This window comes from Homo sapiens, chromosome 10, assembly GCF_000001405.40.
Source record: "Homo sapiens chromosome 10, GRCh38.p14 Primary Assembly".
NCBI classification, from domain to species: Eukaryota; Metazoa; Chordata; class Mammalia; order Primates; family Hominidae; genus Homo; species Homo sapiens.
In genome coordinates this window covers 99,331,955-99,356,120 of record NC_000010.11, presented here as the reverse complement: position 1 = coordinate 99,356,120, position 24,166 = coordinate 99,331,955, and the positions used below count along the sequence as shown (strand labels likewise).

Here is a 24,166-nt window from a genome sequence, read left to right as displayed (position 1 = left end):
GAGATAAGCCATTCCCGCTGTACTTCTTTTGAATTCCTGACTCACAGAATCTGTGAGCATAATAAAATAGTTGTTGTTTTATGGCTCTAAGTTTTGGGGTAGTTTGTTAGCAGCAATGGTAGTTTGAACAATCAGTACCTATAAGGTGACTGTGGAGCTCAAATGACCTAGTGAATATGTGAAAAGACTATAAACTACAATGTGTCACAGGCAGAGATTTCATAGACTTCATTTTTATTGCGCGATGACTGAATAATAATAGTTTCCATTTATTCAGGTCTTACTATGTGCCAGAGAACTCTAAATTTATCTATTTAATTCTCATAAAAACCACTGAGGTAAGTGCTATTCTCCACATTTTACAGATAACAGAACTGAGGCACAGATTGGTTAAGTAGCATGCCTGAAGTTACACAGCCTGTAAGAGCAAAGCTGGATTGCAAACCAGGTAACTAAGTTCAGTACTAACCTGGGACTGAAGTTTTGTCTAATAGTCCTGCTTCATATTGGTTTGTTTTCTTCTGCGGTATAGACACATTTCCTGGTCCTTTTTCTAAAATAAAAATCTGGTTGGTTCTTTCCCTTGGCTCAGAGACATTTAAGGAGAAAATCTGGGGTACTGATTCAGATGTTATTATGGAAAACAATAAAAAGCAAGTTCATGCTTTATTAGTACCCTTTATAAACTCTTTTTTTATTATACTTTAAGTTTTAGGGTACATGTGCACAACGTGCAGGTTAGTTACACATGTATACATGTGCCATGTTGTGTGCTGCATCCAGTAACTCGTCATTTAACATTAGGTATATCTCCTAATGCTATCCTTCCCCCCTCCCCCCACCCCACAACAGGCCCCAGTGTGTGATGTTCCCCTTCCTGTGTCCGTGTGTTCTCATTGTTCAATTCCCACCTATGAGTGAGAACATGCAGTGTTTTACCCTTTATAAACTCTTGCTTGGCCATTGCTAAAAAATATCAGTCAAGAGGAGTCATCAGTTAGTGGGAGGCATAATTAACCATTAAAATGTAAATGAACTTCTGTATCAAATATCTGAAATCATAAGATAGCTACCCCTTGGAGTTTTTAAACTGAAACGAAATCGGAAAGACGGCATTTGTATCACCCAAGAATGGTCTCTAATTTTTTCCCCACCTTCAACCTAACCTTCAGCCTCCTTCTGTACTGATCTGATCATGTTACAACTCTCCTCAAAAACACTATGGCTACCTACTGCTTACAGAATCAAGTCCAGGCTCATTAGTTTGGTGTAATATCATCAAGATTCCACAATGTGGCTCTTCCCTGTCTAACTGTATGCCCTGCTACGTCCCCTACTCATTCTATACTTCAGGCATACCAGGTTACCACCATTTCCTTGATTTCTCTTCCCCACTGCTGCCATCTCCCCTACCCCCAACTTTGAGCTCTAGCCCAGGTACCAGCTCTCCAAGAAAGCTCCCCCAGATCTACCCGACTCTGAATCTGAACCAACCTCTCTATTACAGCATTTATCACAAATTGCTACTTCTTGTAACTAGCAATGTATGTGTCCTACACTAGACAGCATTTCCTCCTCAGATCATGAACTACTTTAGGACAAAGGATCATATACTTAAATAAAGTTCCCTCCATATATCAGACAGCCAATCAGTGCCTGATGAACTGAAGACTGAATAAAAACTCATAATTTATACAATAGGTGATATTAAAACCAGATACTAAAGAAAGCCTTTATTTTTTGATAAAATATAACAGTATGTTTAAATTAAAATTTAAACCTTGCATCAGTGGTTCTAAAATTATCCTTCTTGGAAACAACTACATCCTACCCAGTTTGGCCAAAGTACTTTGTAGCTTAAATTAGATTATATTAATTGTTAGAATGTGCTCAATTTAAAGTTTTTCGTTTCTAACACATTTTTCTTAACTTATGGCACCTATTCTCACTTTTCTGCTAATATGTGCTAGCAGATGACAAAACAAATAACTAGTGTAACGAAAAGCCTTGGAAAAGTGATTTCTTAAAATTGCTTCCTATAATTGGATATTTTTTGGTAATGTGAACCCTAGAATACATATAATACAGCCATACTCCCTACCACTAACATAATTTATTCATATGATGAAATTAAATTAACAGTTTTTGATATTTTACAAAGAGTACTATAATTTCCACATTAAAAAACCACCATTGCTCTACACTTTGAAAGTTCAGTTTGAGGACACACTATGTTATCACCAAGGAATAGAGATTTTAAGCCCTAATTATATAATATTTAAGATAATGTACCTAGGTAAGCTATTTAGAAACATTTTATAATTTACTCTCAGCCTCTGAGCTTCCCTCCAAAGCCTGTTGAGATCTGCTACACACAAATGAAGGAAGCCATTTCTTCTTAAGTACAGACTGGGATGGGAATTGTCAATCACAATCCTTATTCCGAGTTGACACTCACAGAGACAAGAAAACCAGCTGTTTCCATGTCACACATACCACACACACTCATGAAAGGTTGGTCTTGAAGAGCCCTATGCCTGCACCTCCCTTACTCCCTTCCTGGGCCCTAGAGGTGCTGGGGGTGGCCCTATGTGAAGCCAATCTTGAGACAAGCACAAGTCACTCCCTCCTGCCACAGCACTTTGTACACATCTCTGTATTGGCATTTATAATAACAATAATAGCTGTTATTATTATTATTGAAGCTACCTGTTGCTATGCACACTCTAGGGGCCAGGCACAGTGTCAGGCATTGCACACACATTATTTGACCTTGGTTGTTTTCTATTTATATGTGATCCCCACCCCCACCCGTGAGGGTAATCTCCCTGAGAGGCAACAGGTATGCTACATCCTATTTACTTCTGTTTCCTCAGAATCTAGAATAGCACCTGGCATATCATCAGTAAGGAAATACAAATCAAAATCTTACAACTCTTAAGAAGACAACTCCAAAAGTGGGCAAAAGATTTGATTAGATATTTCTCCAAGGAAGATAAATAATTGGTCAATGCACATGAAAAGATGCTTAACATTGAGAAGTCAACAAATAGTAGCTGGTAACTGGATATCCACATGCAAAAAAGTGAAGTTGGATGCCTACCTCATACTATACATAAAAGTGAACTAAAAATGGATCAAGCACCTACATATAAGAGTAAAAACTATAAAACTCTTAGAAAAAAACATAGGAGAAAACCTTAGAGATTGATTTCTTAGGACACCCAAAACACAATCAAATTAAAAAAATAGATCAAATGGACTTCACCAAAATTAGAAACATCTGTGCAAAGTACACCACCAAGAAAGGTAAAAGACAATTCACAGAATGGGAGAAAATATTTGCAAATCATTAGATAAAAGACTTATATCCAGAATATATAATGAAATATTACAACACATAAAAAACCAACTCAATTAAAAAGTGAGCAAAAGATTTGAACAGATATTTCTCCAAAGAAGATATACAATTGGTTAATAAGCAAATGAAAAGATGCTTAACATTGTCATCATGAAGGAAATTCAAATCAAGATGCTAATGAGATACTTTATACCCACAAGATGGCAATAATAAAAAAGACAGATAATAACAAATGTTGGTTAGGATGCAGAAAAAATTGAACCTCTCAGACATTGCTGGTGGGATTGAAAAATAGTCTGGTGGTTCCTCAAAATGTTAAACACAAAATTATCAAATGACCCGACAATTCTACTTTTAGAGAAATGAAAACATATGTCCACACAAAAACTTGTACATGTTTCCAAACAAAATGTGTTATATCAATACAATTGGATATTAACCTGCCATCAAAAGGAATGAAGTGCACCCTACAACATGGATGACCCTTGAAAGCATTATGCTAAGTGAGAGAAGCCAGACACAAAAGGCCATATGCTGTATGATTCCATTTATGTAAAATTTCCAGAATAGACCAATCTACAGGGGAAGAAGTAGATCATGGTTGCCAGAAGCTGGGGAAAGGAGAGTGTGGGGCATGGCTAAGTGAGTACAGAGTTTCTTTTGGGGTGATGAAGTGTTCTGGAATTAGATTAGTAGGGATGCCTGCACAACTCTGAATATACAAAAATGCATTAAGTGTGCACTTTAAAAGGATGAGTTTTATGGTACGTGAATCCTATCTCAATGAAGCTATTATTTTTTAAAAAGAAAGCCAATTGAAAAAAATAATAATCCATGCCTGAATGAGCAGGAAGTTGGTGTGGCTGAAAGTTACAACCTGCAACACAAGTTGAGTAAAAGTAGGGACTGCTTCGTAAAGAGAATGGGTTGAAATGAGAGGAATGCTGGTTTGGACTTGGGTAATAACTTCCAGCACACATGATCATTTTGTGCTCTAGGATGTGTGGAGAGTAAAAACGGTCTGCCACAGGTGAGGCCACTGGGAGACAAGAAATAGGGGAGAAGGCACCGTATTATGAGTTTTGTGCAGGCGGAAATGGTGAACAGGGATGAGGGCTTTATCACAGGCAGGAGAGGGAAAATATGAGAACAAAGAGCTGTTGGCCTGGTTCACATCTTTCAGAAACCTCATCAACTCTCAGGGATGACTTGTGAATATTTACAACTCCTAAACTGGGTCCAACTGGGGCAGTGGGCGCTCAAATATCCCAAGCATTCCCATCTTTCTCTGGGCAAATGCTTGTATCTAACACACATTATTTCTCCTCTCTACCTGTTTACCATTTCTACCTTTACTTCCTAATGGCATATGTGGTAAAGTGGCATATGTGGCATATGTGGTAAAGTGGGCAAAAAGTAGTAATTGACTATTCAACGCTGGGTTTGGGAAAGGGTCTCTTTGTGGCTTCTGTACTAATCTCCTCTGAGACATGCTTGAGATACCACATTACCTATTAGGCTCTTGGCACATTTGAGGTCAGTAAAATTACCCATTACTGAAGGTCAAATTAGTGTTTTCCATTGCCCCAAGAATCCAAAGGGCAGTCCTAGTACTGGTTACTGGCAGTGTTCTACCTAAGGTGTTATCATCACTACCTCGTATCGACATACCCAAACTACAAGTCAGATTTCTTAGAAGATGAGGTTTTCAGGCATTGCTTTTAAAGCAGTGGTTCTCAAATGGAGGTGATTTTGCCCCCCAGGGGACATTTGGCCATGTATGGAGACAATCTGGTTGTCACAACTTGGGGCAGGGAATGCTACTGGCATTTGGTGGGTAGAAGACAGGGATGAAGCTAAACATCCTTCAATGCACAGGACAGTCCCCTCCGCAAAGAATTACCTGGCCCCAAACATCAATACTATTGAGGTCGAAAGCCCTGGCCTATTAGGGGGGTGGGGTTGGGGGAGGGAGAACATTAGGAAAAATAGCTAATGTATGCTGGGCTTAATACCTAGGTGATGGGTTGATAGGTGCAGCAAACCATCATGGCACACGTTTACCTATGTAACAAACCTACACATCCTGCACATATACCCCGGAACCTGAAATTTAAAAAAATGTAAAAATATACAGAAAGGCAGTGGCAGCAACATCACAACTGTATTTTGGTATCTGAAGAAGCTAAAATAGCCTCCAAAGTCTTTAATAAATATAGCCTCATCTATTCTACATGGTTTAGGCACATCCATAGATAAGAGCTCTCAAGGACTCCATTAGCATACCTCTGATGCCTTAGGGGAACAAAAAGGCAAATAATTGATTTGCTTCCTCTCTTCTTCAAAAATAGCTACAGCACTTTGGTAACTGTTCCCAAGATAAAATAAAAAGCTAGGAGGAAAGCATATTGCTTGGAAATAGAGAACTAAGCAAAATCGTTTTATGGTTTTATGGTTTCTGCCTCACTTGTGACCTTCACCTTATAAAATATAGTGGCTTTTGCTACGTTCTTCTTCCAGGTGTGCTTGCAGCATCTTTTATTCATTTGGTAGACAGCATTGAGTGTCTCCTCTTTCTTACCTTGGTCTTGGTCACTTGGTACCAATGGAAATGTATTCCTTGGAGTAGCAGCATGAACACTACCTGGGCCTTTGTTCAAAATGCAAGATCTGAGGTCCCATCCCTGCCCTACGGAATCAGGATCTTGCTGGGTGGGGCAGGGTCCAGATAGCTGTTTTTTGTGTTTTTTTGTTTTGTTTTGAGACTGAGTCTCACTCTGTTGCTCAGGCTGGAGTTCAATGGTGTGATCCTGGCTCACTGCAACCTCTGCCTCTCGGGTTCAAGCAATTCTCCTGCCTCAGCCTCCCGAGTAGCTGGGACTACAGGCACACGCCACCACGCCCAGCTAATTTTTGTATATTTAGTAGAGACGGGGTTTCACCGTGTTAGCCAGGATGGTCTCGATCTCCTGACCTCATGATCCGCCCACCTCAGCCTCCCAAAGTGCTGGGATTACGGGCGTGAGCCACTGCGCCCGGCCCAGATAGCTGTTTTAATGAGCTCTCCAGGTGATTCTTATGCACACTAAAGTTTGAGAAACACTGCTCTTGACATGTGCTACTCAAAGTGTGGTCCTTGGATTGGAAACATGGTATCACTTGGGAGCTTGTGAGGGAAGCAGAAATTCAGGCTCTCATCTTAGCTTTCTGAATCAGAATTTGCATTTCCTCAATATCTCCAGGTGATTCTTACGCACACTTGGGTATCAGAAATCCTGGTCAAGACTACCCTACTTCTCTTCCCACCCTTATGATTGGAACTTTTCTATTTCCATTGTGGATTCCTTTTTTTTAATCCTCACCTACAGATAAATATATCTTAAAGACTCCGACTCGTGATTCTCGACCCTGGCTGCACGTTGGAGTTACATACTGATGCCTGTGTCCCACCCACAGAAATTCTGATCTAATTGATCTTGGATGAGGCTGGGACACTGGAATGTTTAAAACTTCTTCAGGTGATTCTAATGGGCACTTGCAGTTAAGAACTTCTGCTCCTGTCTTTGATCTTCCGCTCATCTCTCTTGCTGATTAAAGATCCCAGCAAAGCCTATTAATTTAAATATCACAATCACCTCTTTACTGAGAACTGGATTTATATCTGAACATAGGTTTCTATTTTTTTATTTTGAGACAGGGCCTCACTCTGTTGCCCAGGTTGGAGTGCAGTGGTGCAATCTCAGCTCACTGCAACCTCCGCCTCCCAGGCTCAAGGGATCCTCCCACCTCAGCCTCCTGAGTAGCTAAGACAACAGACTCAAGCCAGCAGGCCTGGCTATTTGTTTGTTTATTTGTTTGTTTGTTTGTTTTTGTAGAGATGGGGCTTTGCAATGTTGCCCAGGCTGGCCTCAAACTCCTGAGTTCAAGCAATCTGCCCACTTTGGCCTCCCAAAGTGCTGGGATTACAGGTGTGAGCCACTGTACCTGGCCTCGATGTCTATTTTGAACACCCTTCCTGTTTTAGATATTTTGCCTGAGCTGTCCTCTTGTCAAAATCACTTACCCAAATAGGAACTCCTAATCTTCAAGACACATTGCCCCTGCTCTTCCTCCGTCTTCACTACAGTAAATGATACCATTAACTCTAGTTACCCTAAGTCATAACCCAAGAGTCATCTTTTATCTTTCCTTTATGTCAATTTAGAAAAAAATCCCCACATTCTTTCAATTCTTCTTCCTTTATTCTTTTAACAAGTACTTACTGAATGACTGCTACATGCCGAGCACTCTTCTAGGCACTTGAAATGCAGCAATGAGCACAATGCACAAAATCATTTTCCTCCGGCAGCTTACACTCTTGTAAGTAGAGGTAAGAGATAATAAAGCAAATACATATCTAAAATATATAGCATAAGGCTGGGCGCCGTGGCTTAAGCCCATTATCCCAACACTTTGGGAGGCTGAGGCAGGAGGACTGCTTGGGCCCAGGGGTTTGTGACCAGCCTGGGCAATGAATCAAAACTTCATCTTTACAAAAAATTTTAAAAAATTTAGCCAGGTGGGGTGGTGCATGCCTGTAGTCCCAGCTGCTTGGAAGGCTGAGGCAGGAGGATTGTTTGAGCCTAGGAATTTGAGTCTGCAGCTAGCAATGATTGCACCAATGCACACCAGCCTGGGTGACAGTGAGATGTTGTCTCAAAAAAAAAAAATATATATATATACACACACACACACACACATCATATATATAAAAAAATATATATAGCACACTGCTAAGGGGAAAGCGAAGCAGGGAATAGTGATGAGGGAGTGTGTGGGAGTGAGAGAACAGGTGTTACAATTTTAGGGAAGGGAGACGGGGATGAACTCCCTGAGGTGATGTTTCAATAAAGCCCTGAAGGCGGTGAGGTAGGGAGCCCTGTGGAGATCTCTGCAGTAGAACAGGGTGTAAAGGTCATGCATTGGGAGTGTAACTGATGTGCTTAAGGAATGGCAAGGAGGCCAATGCGGTGGCTGTAGAACGTGGGAGAGGAAAGTAGTGGGAGCCAAGGTCAGGGAGTTGAGGGGTAGGGGAGGTGCCAATGTGATAGAGCCAGGAAGGCCTTTGTAAGGACTTTGGGTCTTACTCTCAGTGACATAAAAACAAGCCATTGCAACATTTGTGTGTGTGTGTGTGTGTGTGTTGCAAAAAGGTGACATGATCTGACTTATGTTTTTGTTTTTGTTTTGTTTTGTTTTTTGAGACAGAATCTTGCTCTGTCCCCCAGGCTGGAGTGCAGTGGTGTGATCTTGGCTCACTGCAACCTCCGCCTCCCGGGTTCAAGCGATTCTCTGCCTCAGCCTCCCAAGTAGCTAAGATTACAGGTGCCTGCCACCATGCCAGTCTAATTTTTTTGTATTTTTAGTAGAGATGGGGTTTCACCATCTTGGCCAGGTTAGTTTTGAACTCCTGACCTCGTGATCCACCTGCCTCCGCCTCCCAAAGTGCTGGTATTACAGGTGTGAGCCACCGTGCCTGGCTGACTTATATTTTAAAAGGAACTCTAGCTGCTGTGTTTTTTTTTTCTTTTAACTTTTATTTTAGGTTCGGGGTATATGTGCAGGTTTGTTATCTAGGTAAATTCGTGTCACAGAGGTTTGGTATACAGATTATTTCATCACCCAGGTACTAAGCATAGTACCCAATAGGTATTTTTTTCTAATCCTCTCCCTCCTCCAGTGCCTGCTGTTGCCCTCTTTGTGTCCACGTGTTCTCATTATTTAGCTCCCACTCATAAGTGAGAGCATGCGGTATTTGGTTTTCTGTTTCTGCGTTCATTTGCTAAACTGCTGTGTTAAGAATAGACATAAGGCCGAGTGCAGTGGCTCACGCCTGTAATCCCAGCACTTTGGGAGGCTGAGGCAGGAGGATTGCTTGAGCCCAGGAGTTCCAAGATCAGCCTAGACAACATAGTGAAAGCCCATTTCTATAAAAAATTAAAAATATTAGCTGGGCATGGTGGCTCACGCCTGTAATCCCAGCTACTAAGGAGGCTGAGGTGGGAGGATCACTTAAGGAGTGTGTTTGGCAAAAAGAGTAGGAGCTCAGTTTTGGGCAGGTTTAAGTTTGAGATGTATTTTAGACTTCTAAGTGGAGATGTTCAGTGGCAATTAGAAATGTAAGTCTGGAGTTCATGTTGATAAGTTTGGGAGAATGAATGAAATAATCGAGGGAATGAGAGTAGACAGAGAAGAGATCAATTTCTGAGCCCTGAGGCACTGTAACATTTAGAGGTCATAGAAATGCAACATTCATGGGACAAATATTTGAGCATCTGCTATGGGTAGGCACTGTGCCAGGTGCTGAAGATACATCTGTGGATATGATGTAGGCAGAACCAGTAAAGGAGACTGAGGAGGAGTGTTCACATGTAATGAAGTCTAAGAGATTTTTTTCCTCCTCTAATTCAAAGTGTCCTTAATTTCTATGCCCTCATCCCATCTTGGACAACTGCACCAATATCCTAACCATTCATCCTTTTGGTTTTTCTAGCCCTAATACATCTTGTACACTAAAACCGGATTAACGATCCCCGAAATACTGCATTTGTGAGGTTACTCCCCATCTCAATCACATGTAGGAGGATCATTTAAGACTAAGCAGGATCATTTCTGAACTCTTCTTCCTTGCATTAAAGGCTCCTATGATTTTTTGGTATTTTTTTTGCCTTCTTTCCCACTACTATGTCAAAACGTATTGTTCATAAAATAGCTGGTCCAGAGGCAATGCAGAATCAAGGGTGGTGGCTCATAATCCCAGCACTTTGGGAAGCTGAAGCGGGAGGATCGCTTGAGGCCATGAGTTCGACACCACCCTGGGCAACATGGTAAGACCCCCATCTCTTAAAAAAATTTTTTTAAATTAAAAAATATAAAAGAAAACAAAAATAAAATAACCGTTCCAAGAATACTCCGCCAATAAATGGTGAAGCCAAAATTGAGCCCTGGTTAGGATTTCTGGAAAGCTTCAAGACCCAACTAGAAAAGTCTGGATACATTAAGCTCAGGCCTCTCAGATACAGAACTGGTCTTGGAGACTGCCTGGGTGGTCAGTTTGACTCTCTCTCTCTGGGTTCAGCCTAACCATACCCAGAATCCCCTGCTTAAAAATCACCATGGTGACCCAGAGTGATTTGGCTATGCTTTGGCAGATGGTGTCATTCTCAGGTCACAAACCAACCTCAGATATGAGGAGGATACATTGAAAGGCAAACAGGGCCAACTTTAGTCATCACTTAGTTCTGGGCCAGCCAGGGAGTGTGGTCAAGCTAGGCTAGTCCCTGGGAGAAGAGAGATATGTGGACTCTCAGGGGCACTGTTTGAAGTAAGCTAGATACCTGAGATGATCTTAAAATCCACGCTTTTGAAGGTTTTCATTGCAGCTGAAGACAGCCTACAGATTCGTCAGTGTTCTCCATATCATTTTTGATGTAAACCAAGCTGAATCCTGAGACTCCATTTCCTAGTTTTTGCCATAGTAGTTTCTGTAATACCTACTGTACATTGGGTGCATATGTTACCTCTGGTCTTCATAATATCTCTGCAAAAGGGGGGTTGTTATTACTAATATGTAGATAAGGAAACTGAGACTTGGAAAAATAAAATGACTTATCCAAGGACAATATTAGTATGTGATGGAGCCAGGAACAACCCCAGGTCTGTCTGCCTCTTGACCTTGTGCTCTTTCCAACACAATGCAGACTCCACATTCCAGGCCAAATCTCAGGTTTACTGTCTCTGACGTGTTAAGAGCAATGGGCACATACTCTGTAAATGCCTGGAGGCTGCAGGAAGGCATGCTGAGCTAATGCCCGGCACCTCCCTAGTGATTAGCAAGGGAGGAGAACGGCTTTGAACTGGGAAGGGGAAAGGAGTCACAATTCCACCTCCTTGCTACACTTCGCCTTCAAATCCAAGCCTTCTTATGTTTAGCCTGATATTTTATTTTAGTAGACTGCTTGGAGCTTTGAGGAGTTTTGTTTATATTGCTGTGTTATTTGTTTAAATGGTCAGGTTTTTTTATTTGCCTGAGATGTCTGAGGAAGAGCAGAGTGATGGGGGAGGAAACTGAATTCTAACTGATAACAGGATAAAAGAAATGGAAGGAACCTCCTACGGTCCAATTTTCATCCCCTGGGCCCTACCCAAAGTAAACAGCTTTCAATTTTGTTTTCTTATTATATACAGTTTTACATGGGCTGGATCAGAGAGAGAAAGGACTTGTTATACAAGATGACTAACTGTATACAATTAATTTAACTAGATCAGGGAGGTAAGAGGCAAATGGTGGAGTCTCTTTAGGGCTATACTGGAATTGTCTTCAGCCTTCAGAGTAAACTCACAATGTAGTATCACTATTCCCCCCCACCCCCACCTATTTTTTTTTTTTGAGACGGAGTCTCGCTCTGTTGCCTAGGCTGAAGTGCAATGGCATGATCTCAGCTCACTGCAACCTCCACCTCCCGGGTTCAAGTGATTCTCCCGCCTCAGCCTCCTGAGCAGTTGGGATTACAGGCACCCGCCATCATGCCCAGCTAATTTTTATATTTTTGTAGAGACGGGGTTTCACCATGTTGGTCAGGCTGGTCTTGAACGCCTGACCTCAGGTGATCCGCCCACTTTGGCCTCCCAAAGTGCTGGGATTACAAGGGTGAGCCAGCACACCTGGCCTATCTTCCATCTTCTTAAAAGGGGAATAGGCCGGGCACAGTGGTTTATGCCTGTAATCCCAGCACTTTGGGAGGCCAAGGCGGGCTGATCACCTGAGGTCAGGAGTTCGAGACCAGCCTGGCCAATATGGTGAAACCCCATCTCTACCGAAAAAAAAACAAAACAAAAATTAGCTGGGCATGGTGGCGGGTGTCTGTAATCCGAGCTACTCAGGAGGCTGAGGCAGGAGAATCGCTTGAACCCAGGAGGCAGAGTTTGCAGTGAGCCGAGACCATGCCAAGGCACTCCAGCCTGGGCGACAGAGGGAGACTCCATCTCAAAACAAAAAAACAAAACAAAACAAAAAAGAAGGAAGACAAGTCTCAGAGTGATATAGTGACCTGCCCCAGTCGTAGCTAGTCAACGAAGGTGCTGGGATCTGAGTTCAGGCCTCTGGGACCCTCTGTCTGTGTCCTTGGCTCCATGGTCTGAGGTGGCAAGTCAGACATGTGAGTTCTGGTTCCACCTCTGTCACTAACATTGAGCAGGACACTTCTGTCTTTAGATCTCTGGTGCTGCATATACAAAATGAGGATAAAAACTGCTGACCTCACATTTATGGTGGGCACACAATGAATTACTAAACTGGAAATTTTGTTTATATGGCTGTGATATTTGTTTATATGGTCATTAAAAAACATTTGCCAATAAATAAACATAACGCCTTTGCAACTACGAGGGATTATCATTTCTCTTTTTAGTATTTGTCCTTTCTGTGCCTCAGTTTTCTCAATCATAAAAGACATGCCGGGCGGTCACGGTGGCTCATGCCTGTAATCCCAGCACTTTGGGAGGCCGAGGTGAGCAGATCACCTGAGGTCAGGAGTTTCAGACCAGCCTGGCCAACATGGTGAAACCCCATCTCTACTAAAAATACAAAAATCAGCTGGGAGTGGTGGCAGGCGCCTGTAATCCCAGCTACTTAGGCTGAGGCAGGAGAATTGCTTGAAACCGGGAGGTGGAGGTTGCAGTGAGCCGAGATTGTGCCACTGCACTCCAGCCTGGGCGACAAAAGTGAGACTCCATCTCAAAAAAAAGAAAGAAAGAAAGAAAAAAAAAGATGGGACTAGGTGATCACCAAGTTTCCATTTCTGGCTCTAAAATTTTATGCTTTTATAAGTCTAAACAGTTCTGGGCTACAAAACAGTTTGGTTTTACAGGATACTTCTTTGCAATGATATATGCCAGAATTTTAACAGTGCTGTTAGAGCCTCTTGTGTTTATAAAGGGCTCTGAGCTCCTAATCTTTGTATCTTAATATTTGAAAGCCTCCTTTGGAATGAGATGAGAAACAGCTACCTTGACACATACTAGATTTTTGTTGTTGTTGTTGTTGTTTTTAACTATACAATCAAGTGAAATCATTCCCTACCAAATCAGGAAGAGAAACACAAAAATGTTATTCTACCAATCCTGCAGCAACCGCCTTGATTTGGAAAAACAAAACTGTCCCTTTCTCTAGCTTAAAAAAAAGGCTGTACTTTATAGTAATTATCCTGCTCTATTTTATCAGAAATAATCAACACCTTTATCACAAAATAAATTCTTGAGCCACTAAAAGGCAATTATAAAAAAGCCAACTGTGTCATCCAGAGCACCATGGTAACCAACATCACTAGGGCATGAAAAAATAGTTGTTCGTCACCAGAATCTAAGCCAGTTGGTGGTTTGGCTTGCTAAGCAACACTGTAAAAATAGCAGAGTAACAACCCATTATCTGGAGGTCTGACTTCCCACTGTTTTGAATATGGTCCCAGAAAGAACTGTCCCAGGTCTCTCCATTGACTCCCTACCCTAGGCTTACAGTCAAAACCTAACTAATCATTTAACCAACAAGTATTGATTGAAGTATACTACATATCAGGCACATGATTCTCAACATGGTATTCACTTAGTTTATCAGTGAAACAGAAACTGTAAGTGAGATATACACAGGAAGAGTGATTTTGTGGAGAACGGTGGGGCAGGGATTTGCTGGAGGCAGATTCAAAGAGAACTAACAGCTGTCAGCCAGAGGACAGAAAAAAATGTAAAAAATAGGGAATACAGCATAAAATAACTACACTCTCATGATCATGATCCTGCGTCATCAAGAAAAGATTAAGTTATATTTAGAATCCTTTGTTAAGAAAGGCAGGAATGGGTATAAAACATTTTAGAAATATCACCATCAAAAATGGTTAAAATATACAGTTTTAGCATTTGAAGGAAACAAAATTATGTTTGACAAATATCTTCGGCTGCCTAGCTCCCCATTTTGCTGGAAGAAAAGCAGCATTATGATAATGGCTTTCCCAGCGTTCAGACACAGTGTCGGCTCCCTCTCTGCCTTTCTTTTTCAGCTCAAACTCCTGCCTCAGCTGGAACACTCTTCCCTTCATAATTGCTTAGCAGGGTCCTTCTCCTTCTTTAAGGCTGAGCTGAAATTCCACTTTCTCAGAAAAGTTTTCTCAGATCACCCAGGGACTATTTCTCCCTTCCCTTTTCACCCACAGATGTTTTCTGGATTCCCTTGCCTGTACCCCAGGCTGCCTCTTATCATCATTTCCATCATGGCCCTTCCTTCTTTCTCGTTCCTGGAGGGCAGGTTCAGCACTGCATTTATATCCATGTCTATCTGCCGAGCCCTGGTACTCAGTACATGCTACTGAACTGACCTGCCCAGACGATGTTGAGAGTCACTGGGGGAAAACAGGAGGGTGGCTGGCAGAGGTGGCACTTTCCCTCCTGGATGTCACACAGCCCAGGAGCCCAGCATGGCACCCATGCTGGCCCTCCTTCCTCAGGGCCTTTGCATGTCTGTTCCTGTCTCCTGGGAAGCTCTTCCTCTGATGAACTCCTTCTCACCGTTCTTTAGGATTCAGCTCAAATACCACTTGGCAAGGGAGAGTCTCTTTACCTATAAGACCAAGTCTATCTATTATATGTTCAGAGCTCCCTATACTTTTTCTTCAACTCACTTAGGACAATTTGTAATTATTTATTGCTTGGTGTCGCCTACTCGACTGCAAGCCCTAGGAGGGCAGGAATGGTGTCTGTCTTGTCCACACTGCATCTCCAGTGCCTAACACAGGCCTGACAGAGAATGGCCATTCAATACAGGCAGGCAGGCAGGCAGGCAGGCAGGCAGGCAGGAAGGAAGGAAGGAAGCGGGGAAGGAGAGAAAGAGAAAGAGAAAGAAAAGAAAAGAAAAGAAAGAAAGAAAGAGAAAGTAAGAAAGAAAGAAAAGAAAGAAGGAAAGAGAGAGAGAAAGAAAGAAAGAAGAGAGAGGGAGGGAGGGAGGGAATGAAGGAGGGAAGAGAGAGAAAGAAAGAAAAGAATTGAGGAGAATCCCATTTTGAAAAGGAATATAACAGTAGCAAATAAAAAGAGAATTTAGAGCTGTTATTGAAGGTCCCAGAATCCCCAAACATGGGCCTAGAAGGAACTCGTTTTATGACAGTACTACTAGGAAAACCCACAGACCTTCCTTGGAGACACCCAAATGCTTTAAGGGAGCGAGAAACACAATCAAATGTATTTGGTAGCTAAAAAATCGAATTGAGATGAGCTATGATATTCTTCAAATAAAAGAATACTCACAAAGGATGATAAATGGAAAAAATGGAATTTAACTGCAGCCTGTGGGATTTAGTTAGATAAAAAGACAGGTTTGACAGTGAAGGCTGGTATGGCCCGGGAAAGATAACTAAATCTGAAAAAAGTGTGAATGAGATTCTCTCACAGGTTTTTTCAGTGCCCCTTCCAGTTCAGATTCTATTGTTACCTGGCATTTCTTTTGCCAGGCTGGAAAAAAATGAACATAACAACATTATAACAATCACAATGAAAATGTTTAAAGGAAAAAAACCCCACAAGTTTATCATCTTGAATATTATTCTCACTTTTTCATTTCCTTTCATTCTTTCTCTCTATATACAATGGACTACACTTGGTTTACTGTTTGCTCTATTGTTTAGAAAGTAAGCATCTCATTACAAATTTTACTAATTATTATTTAGCAACATTTAACACATTTTAAAAACGTAATACATCTATTTATAACAGTGAAATGTAACTGTGAATGAAAAAATTTATTTTCTTTTATGGAAGACAAAGAATATAGCACTAATGTTTTGGCAGGTATAGAATTAAGCAATGGAATGGTTATTCTTCCTGCAAAAATAGCTACGGTCAGCATTTGGAGTGTAAAGTAAACCACTGGCATTTTGGACTAGATTATTCTGCAGTGAAAAGGTCACATTGTGTGTCTGGGCCAGGAACACTTACTGGCTGGTTGGAATACTTTAGGCCAGAGGTCCCCAACCTTTCTGGCACCAGGGACAGCTTTTGTGGAAGATGATTTTTCCATGAACTAGGGTGGGAGGGGGCATGGTTTGGGGATGGAACTGTTCCACCTCAGATCATCAGGCATTAGATTCTCACAAGGAGCACGCAACCTAGATTCCTTGCATATGCAGTTCACAATAGGGTTCTCGCTCCTAATGCCCCAGCTGATCTGACAGGAGGTGGGGCTCAGACAGTAATGCTTGCCCACTGCTCACCTTCCACTGTGTGGCCCAGTTCCTACCAGGCCACAAACTGGTACCATTCTGCAGTCTGGGGGTTAGGGACCCCTGCTTTGGGCAACAGACCACTTGCAGGAAGACCAAAGATGGAAGAGGATATTTTTAGCTCCATAATGTCTGCCTAGCTCACCACTGTATTCCCAGAGTCTAGTGTAATGCCTGGCCCAAAGCAGGAATTCAAAAAATGTTTACTGAATGAATCAATGAATAAGCAAAGACTGAGTATGGATTGTGCAGTAGGCTGTGTTACAGCCATGCTAGTGTACAGGTGGAGCAGCCTAGCATACGTGGGTTGTGCTTTTTTGTTTGCAAAGATGGTGTTACTAGCCCAGCAAAGCTGAATTGTTTAATTGAGTTAAATGTCAGTCAGTGCTGTATTACTCAGAAGCTTTGACTTCAGAACAAAGCTTTATTCCTTTCCCCTGTTGTCTATACAGAACTCAGTGTCTCCTAAAAGCAATCCAATAATAGAGTAGTAAATTTAAGAAGTATGATAAATCTCTACGGCTCCATTTTTAAAATTAGTCTTCCCAAATTATAGCACTCAACCCTGAGGAAACTATAGCAAAAATACCACCCTATAAGAAAATCACTCTTAAGATTAGAATGGGACATTTGATTTGTGCTTGATGGCAGGACAATGGGCTTTTCCTTTTGTTTTCTTTTTAAGAATTTCATTAAGATTGTTATTATGTGCAATATATTTTTAATATGACAAAATATTGAGTTACTATTTCAGGATAGTGGGATGATTATCCTCATATGATTTTCATACTTCTTTTTTCTACTATTCTATATTTAAATTTTTTTCTGTATAAATTATAGAAACATAAACTTCAGTAAAAAATTTATAAAAGCAAAATATGACTGGGTGCAATGGCTCACACCTGTAATCCTAGCACTTTGGGAGGCCGAGGTTGGCGGATTGCCTGAGCTCAGGAGTTCGAGACCACCCCGGGCAACACGGTGAAACCTCGTCTCTACTAAAATACAAAAATTTAGCCGGGCATGGTGGCACATGCCTGTAGTCCCAGCTACTTGGGAGGCTGAGGCAGGAGAATCGCTTGAACCTGGGAGGCGAGATCACACCACTGCACTCCAGCCTGGGCGACAAAGTGAGACTCCATCTCAAAAAAAAAAAAAAAAAATGCCACCTAGTCATAGTTATTGTATCCTCCATGTTCCCATTGCATTTTTGCATTTCTAGTATAGCACTTTCATTTTAATGCTTTATGTACCAAGGTCTGTCTTACCCATATCCTGTACTTATATACTGAGACATGACTTGTAAATTCAAGGTCACTGGAAGTCATGGGAAAGGTGAGTGTCCAGCTTGCCTTCTAGCTTTGCAAAGGGAAGTGCTATTCATCCACTATGCTTTAGGCTCTTTGGGAACAGAGATTTTATCTCATACCCCTAACTCTTAGCACAGTGCTTTACATGTGAAAAGAAATTGTTGTAATAAATATTAATAGATGTACCTAAAGAAGCTGAGAAACAATAGATGCAACACTTTTCTTCTAACACTAACAAACTTATAAGTTTGATTTGTTCTGCTGCATAGTCCAAAATGATTTAATTCATTTTCTAGTGCTCTGCAGATCTCTTCCATTATATTAAAGTTTAACTCCTTAAGTCATCCATTCAGTCCTTAAACAAACATTCATTGAAAATTTACTATGTGTCATATGCATCGTTAGCTGCTGGAGCTACAAAGACAGATAAGACAGTTTTGCCCTGGAGATGCTCATTATATGGGTGGGAGGCACTTATAAACAAACACTGGTAGTACAGCTTGTTAGTTCAATGATTGAGATATGCACATAAAACAATGAAGCTGGCCAAAAAATCTATTTTTGTATTTTGGGGTTTACAGGAGAAGTCTCCCAGAGGAGGAGGCCCCTGAGCTGAGTGTCAAAGAGCTGGCAATGAATTAGTCAGGCAAAGCATATTCCTGACAGAAGTGCAATGTGAATAAAGGGACAAAGGCAAGAATAGCACAGTGCACCACAGAGTTCAGCATTGCTGGAGGGTAAAGCTGTGGCAGGGAGTGGTGAGCGATGAGGCTGGAGGGGAGGGCAAGAAGCAGGTCATGAGTGCATTGCTGGCTGCCTTACCAGCTTAGCCTCTCTCCCGTAGGCAGCGGGGAGCTGCTGAAGGGTTTTAAGCAGTGACATTACTGGAGATTATTTTAGTGGCACTAGAGAGAACGAATTTGAGGGAGACAAAAATGTGAAAAAGTGTAACTTCTTAGGAGGCATTTGCATAAATGAGTAATAGACTTGTGTTTATATTTAATAATCATAGCTAACATCTACTTAGTACTTACATGACAGGTAGTAAGTAAGCATAATGCGATAGTCTTAATATTTCACACAATCTTATGAGTAAATATTAGTATTATTTTCATTTTACAGCTAATGAAACAGACATAAACAGTTAAGTAATTTGCCCAGGGCCAGTATCAACCCAGGCATTCTAGTAAGTCTTATGTTCTTTTTTTGAGACAGGGTCTCATTCTGTTGCCACTGGAGTTCAGTGGCATGATCTTGGCTTACTGCAACCTCCCTGCCTCAGCCTCCTGAGTAACTGGAATTACAGGTGTGCACCATTACTGCCCGGCTAATTTTTGTATTTTTAGTAGAGACGGGGTTTCACTGTGTTGGCCAGGCTGGTCTCTAACTCCTGACCTCAAATGATCCACCTGTCTCGGCCTCCCAAAGTGCTCGGATTACAGGAGTGAGCTACCACGCCTGGCCAAATCTTATGTTCTTAATCACTATCCTGTTCGTTTAATTTCTGTTTCCTGTATTAGAGTGAAGCTCTATAGAGACAAGGACTATGTTGATGATGTTCTCCACTGTGCCAACACAACTATTTGTTGAATAAAATCAGTGAATAACCTAAGTGGAACAAATAGTGGATTAAATTATGTACAGATTTAAGAAATCGTCATGCACTGCTTAACTATGGAGACACTCTCTGAGAAATTCATTGCTAGGCAATTTCATGATTGTGTGAACATCATAGAATGTAGTCACACAAAACCTAGAGGATATAGTGTACTACACACATAGGCTATATGTTATAATCTATTGCTCCTAGGCTACAAACCTGTAGAGCATGTTACTGTGCCAAATACTGTAGGTAATTGTAACACAATGGTAAGTATTTGCGTATCTAAACATAGTAAAGGTAATGTGTTGCCTTAGGACGATGTTAGGTGTTATGACTGCTAGGACATCACTAGGTGACAGGAATTTTCCAGCTCCAATGTAATCTTATGGGATCACCATCATACATGCAGTCCATCATTGACCAAAATGACATGACTGCAGTTGGATGCAATATTGGCATCCAATTATTTGGCCAGCTTTGGTGATTGTTATGGACTGAATGTTTGTCTTCCCACAAAATTCATATGTTGAAGCCCTAACGACACCCAGAGAGGCCTCTAAGGAAGTATAGTAGTTAAGATTAAATGATGGCATAAGGGTGGGCCCTAATCCAACAGGATTGATGTCTTTCTAAGAAGAGAGGACCAGAGCCTCTTGCTGTCTGTGGACAGGCACTGAGGAAAGGCCATGGAGAGAAGGCACCCACATGCAAGCCAGGAAGAACGTCCTCACCAGAAACTGAGTTGGCCAAAACCTTGATCTTGGATGTCAAAGCCTTGAATTGCGAGAAAATAAATTTCTGTTGTTTAGGTCACCAGTCTATGCTATTTTCTAATGACAGCCTGTGCAGACGACAATGATTAATAGGATGAGGTGAATGCAAAGGAAAGCTTTCTAGTCTGGGAGACTAAAGGGACAAGTGGTGCCACTTACTGGGGACAGAGGCCCATGAAGAGGAAGAGGAGAGATTTGCTGGGATCAAGGAACAACATTAATTATTCCGTACTTAGGGTTCACCTCACTCAAACATAGAAATATAGAAGTTAGGTATTTAAAACCATTTATTCAATAAATGGTTATACATCCCCTAGCCATGGCGGTCACTATACTTGTCCTGAGAATACAAAATAAGTAAGATTCATTCTCTGTCCTCAAGGAACTTACAGTCCAGTGGTGAGAAATATTGTTCCCTTTTGTAAACCTCACACTCTAGTGTGAAAGACCATTTTCCTCTTCCCCACTTCTAAAGACTTGCAACTCATAAGAAGTAAAAAGATAAAATCCCATATCATCACCTGTAACTGCAGAGTTGTTTAAGATTGGACAAGAGAAGGTATATAGAAATGTTTTATCAAGTGCAATATGCATGTTAGCAATTACTGTAATTATAAAGCTACATTACTAACCTGCAGAAACTGGAGGTGAATCAGCCATGGGCAGCAATCAGAGGTGAAAAGGCTACCTTTGAACCCTGTGGGTGGCAGGAATTCCAGGATGGAGGAAGGAATAAGACAGGTGTAGCAGGGAAAGAACAGGCTTTCGGGTCCTACAGATGTAGTTCACATCACAGTTCAGTCAGTTATTAGTTATGGAAAGTTGTACAAGTCATGTTATTGATCCGAGCTTTAGTTTCTTCATCTGTAAAATGTAGTTAATGACATCTACCCAGGAGGGTTGTTCTGAGTATGTAAAGGGCCTGGCATGGTGCCTGGAAGAACTGTTGGTGCTCAATTAATGGTAACTGTGGCTCCTATTAATATCGTCATTTTCCTCTTCTACCTTCGAAGGGATTTGTTGGTGGTTACGTTACTTGAGAAGCAAGGAAGTAAGGAAAATGGAAGAGCTATTAAAGACCAGCTTTAAAAATTATTTTTTTCTTATTTATTTATTTATTTTGAGACAGAGTCTTTCTCTGTCACCCAGGCTGGAGTACAGTGGTGCGATCTCAGCTCACTGCAACCTCCGCCTCCTGTCTCAGCAATTCTCCTGTCTCAGCCTCCCAATTAGCTGGGATTACAGGTGTGTGCCACCACACCTGGCTAATTTTTGTATTTTTAGTAGAGATGGGGTTTCACCATGTTGGCCAAGCTGGTCACGAACTCCTGACCTCAGGTGATCCACCCACCTCGCCCTCCCAAAATGCTGGGATTACAGGCGTGAGCCACTGCGCCCAGCCAAAAACGTTATTTTTAAAGGTAAAGGAAAGCAGTTCAACCCAGCTTTCACCTCCTAACCTATGGTGCAAATGTATAACTCCTAAAGAAAATGACCACTATGTTATATGGCTTGCAGCCTGAGAACATCCACCTTGTTCATTATGTCTTATATTCTATCTTAAGTAGATCTACCAAACACTGTTAATAAGGGGTCTCTGAAGGCAATGCTTCTCAAACTTTAATGTTACATAGGAGCCACCTGGCAGCTTGCTAAAATGCAGATTTTCATTCAGTGGATTTAGGGTGAGGCATAAAATTCTGCATTTCTAATAAGTTCCCAGGTGAGACTCATGCTGCTGTTTCACGGACCTTACTTTGAGGAAGTAGCAAGGCTATGAAAGGAAGTGGAAATATCTTCCTTGGTATAGTATTCTCTGTAATGGCTTGCTTCTCTTTAGTGCTCTACCTAAATACAAAGTAGCTATTAATAGAACACTAAAGGAGCTTTTTTCGACCAGGTTTAGAAATTCTGCACAGGGATTCATTTCAGATCAATATCAACTTTTTGGAACAGCTTACTATTTACAAGGCAGTGTGTAAGGTGCTGGGGATATAAGAGTTGATATGACAATTCCTGCTTCGAAAGACTGCTCATTATGCCCTGTATATTGCTAACCTCCTGAGGACAGTCTTCCTGTCTCCCTTGTTGCCTAAAACTGTATAGATGTTTAAAAAATACTAAATGAGGCCAAGTGCAGTGGCTCATGCCTGTAATCTCAGCACTTTGGGAGGCCAAGGCAGGTGGATCACCTGAGGTCGGGAGTTCGAGACCAGCTTGGCCAACATGGTGAAACCCTGTCTCTACTAAAAATACAAAAATTAGCCAGGCGTGTTGGTGCACTCCTGTAATCACAGCTACTTGGGAGGCTGAGGCAGAAGAATCACTTGAACCCAGGAGACAGAGTTTGTAGTGAGCCAAGATGGCGCCACTGCATTCCAGCCTGGGCGACAGAGTGAAACTCTGTCTCAAACAAACAAACAAACAAACCTAAACAAATGAATGAATGAGTTCACAGGAGTTTCATTTAAAACATCTTCTGCCAGCACATGACAATGAGACACTATCTTAACTGCTCTGTATCTTAACTATCAGTTTTAAGAGGTGACTGAGTTAAAATGAGGCCATTAGGGTGGGCTCTAATCCAATCTGACTGGTGTCCTTGTTAGAAGAGAAAATTTGGACACACAAGGAGACACCAGGGATGCATGCATACAGAGGAAATACCATGTCAGGACACAGTTAGAAGGTGGTGACTGCAAGCCAAGGAGAGACGCCTCAGAAGGAACCAAACCTGCCAGACACCTTGATCTTGGACTGCTAGCCCCCAGATCTTTGAGGAAATAAATTTCTGTGGTTTATGCCACCCAATGCCCAGATCTAAGACCCTACTTCTGTAAGATATACAAAATGTAAGCATAATTCTAAGAGTGGATAGATGAACCTCAAGTTGCAGTGGGAACTATGAATGCAAGGATTAAGGCGAGATGGACTGAACAGGGTGAGACAGCAACCGAAAATGGACTAAAATAGCTGCCATATATACATTTCTCTCCCTTCTCATCATACCAACACAAAGTCTAGGGCTGTTCTCTCAAATCTGAGACTGAAAGTAGCTTTTAGACCTTTTTCCCCCCTTCCAGGCTACATTTTAATATTTAATATGATTTCAAAAATTGTGGCAGGAAAAAGACCCCAGATTTGTTTGTATTCAAAGTTCTAAAGATTATTTATGATGTTAAAGTAGTGAGATTGAATTTTCCCTTCCCTCCCTCCCTCCCTCCTTCCCTTCCTCTCTCTCTCTTTCTTTCTTTTTTGAGACAGGGTCTTGCTCTGTTACCCAGGCTAGAGTTCAGTGGCACAGTCATAGCTCACTGCAGCCTCGGGCTCAAATTATCATGACATTAAATTTTTGACAAAAAATTTATACAAAATGCAGTTAAATGAGAGTACTGCTAGCCATTAGGAAGCTATATCTGAAGGCTGAATCTGAAGTCAAGGGATTGATTTTTTTGGTTTTTGTTTTTAATAAACATTCCAACTCATATCAGATGAATGCCTCCTTCAAAGGAGTCATTCTGGGAAGTTCTACACTTATTCTAATTATGTCCCTGTTTTCAAATTATGATGTCTGGTGTTGCTTTCAGGGTTTGTGAGATAGTCTTTTGAATGCTCTCAGTGTTGACTCTTGAAAGTAGATTTGATTTTAAAAAACAATCAAGGGTTCTGGGCCAAATCTGGTGAACTAGGGGGGCGGTCAAACTGTGTAATGCCAAGAGGGGTGACTCTAATGTATCCAGGCTGATTTTTCTTGAGTGAATTTGTAGTCACCAGAAGGCACTTTCTGAAGACAAACTCAGACATGAAGTAAACATGTT

The 24,166-nt window shown here is 41.4% G+C and overlaps 1 protein-coding gene across 7 annotated transcripts in view; it reads right to left on the bottom strand.

Annotated features, from left to right (window-relative positions):
* The window catches only part of CNNM1 (cyclin and CBS domain divalent metal cation transport mediator 1), a 64,975-nt gene that overhangs the window by 38,210 nt on the left and 2,599 nt on the right, over positions 1-24,166 (bottom strand). The gene's annotated exons all lie outside the window — the stretch shown is intronic.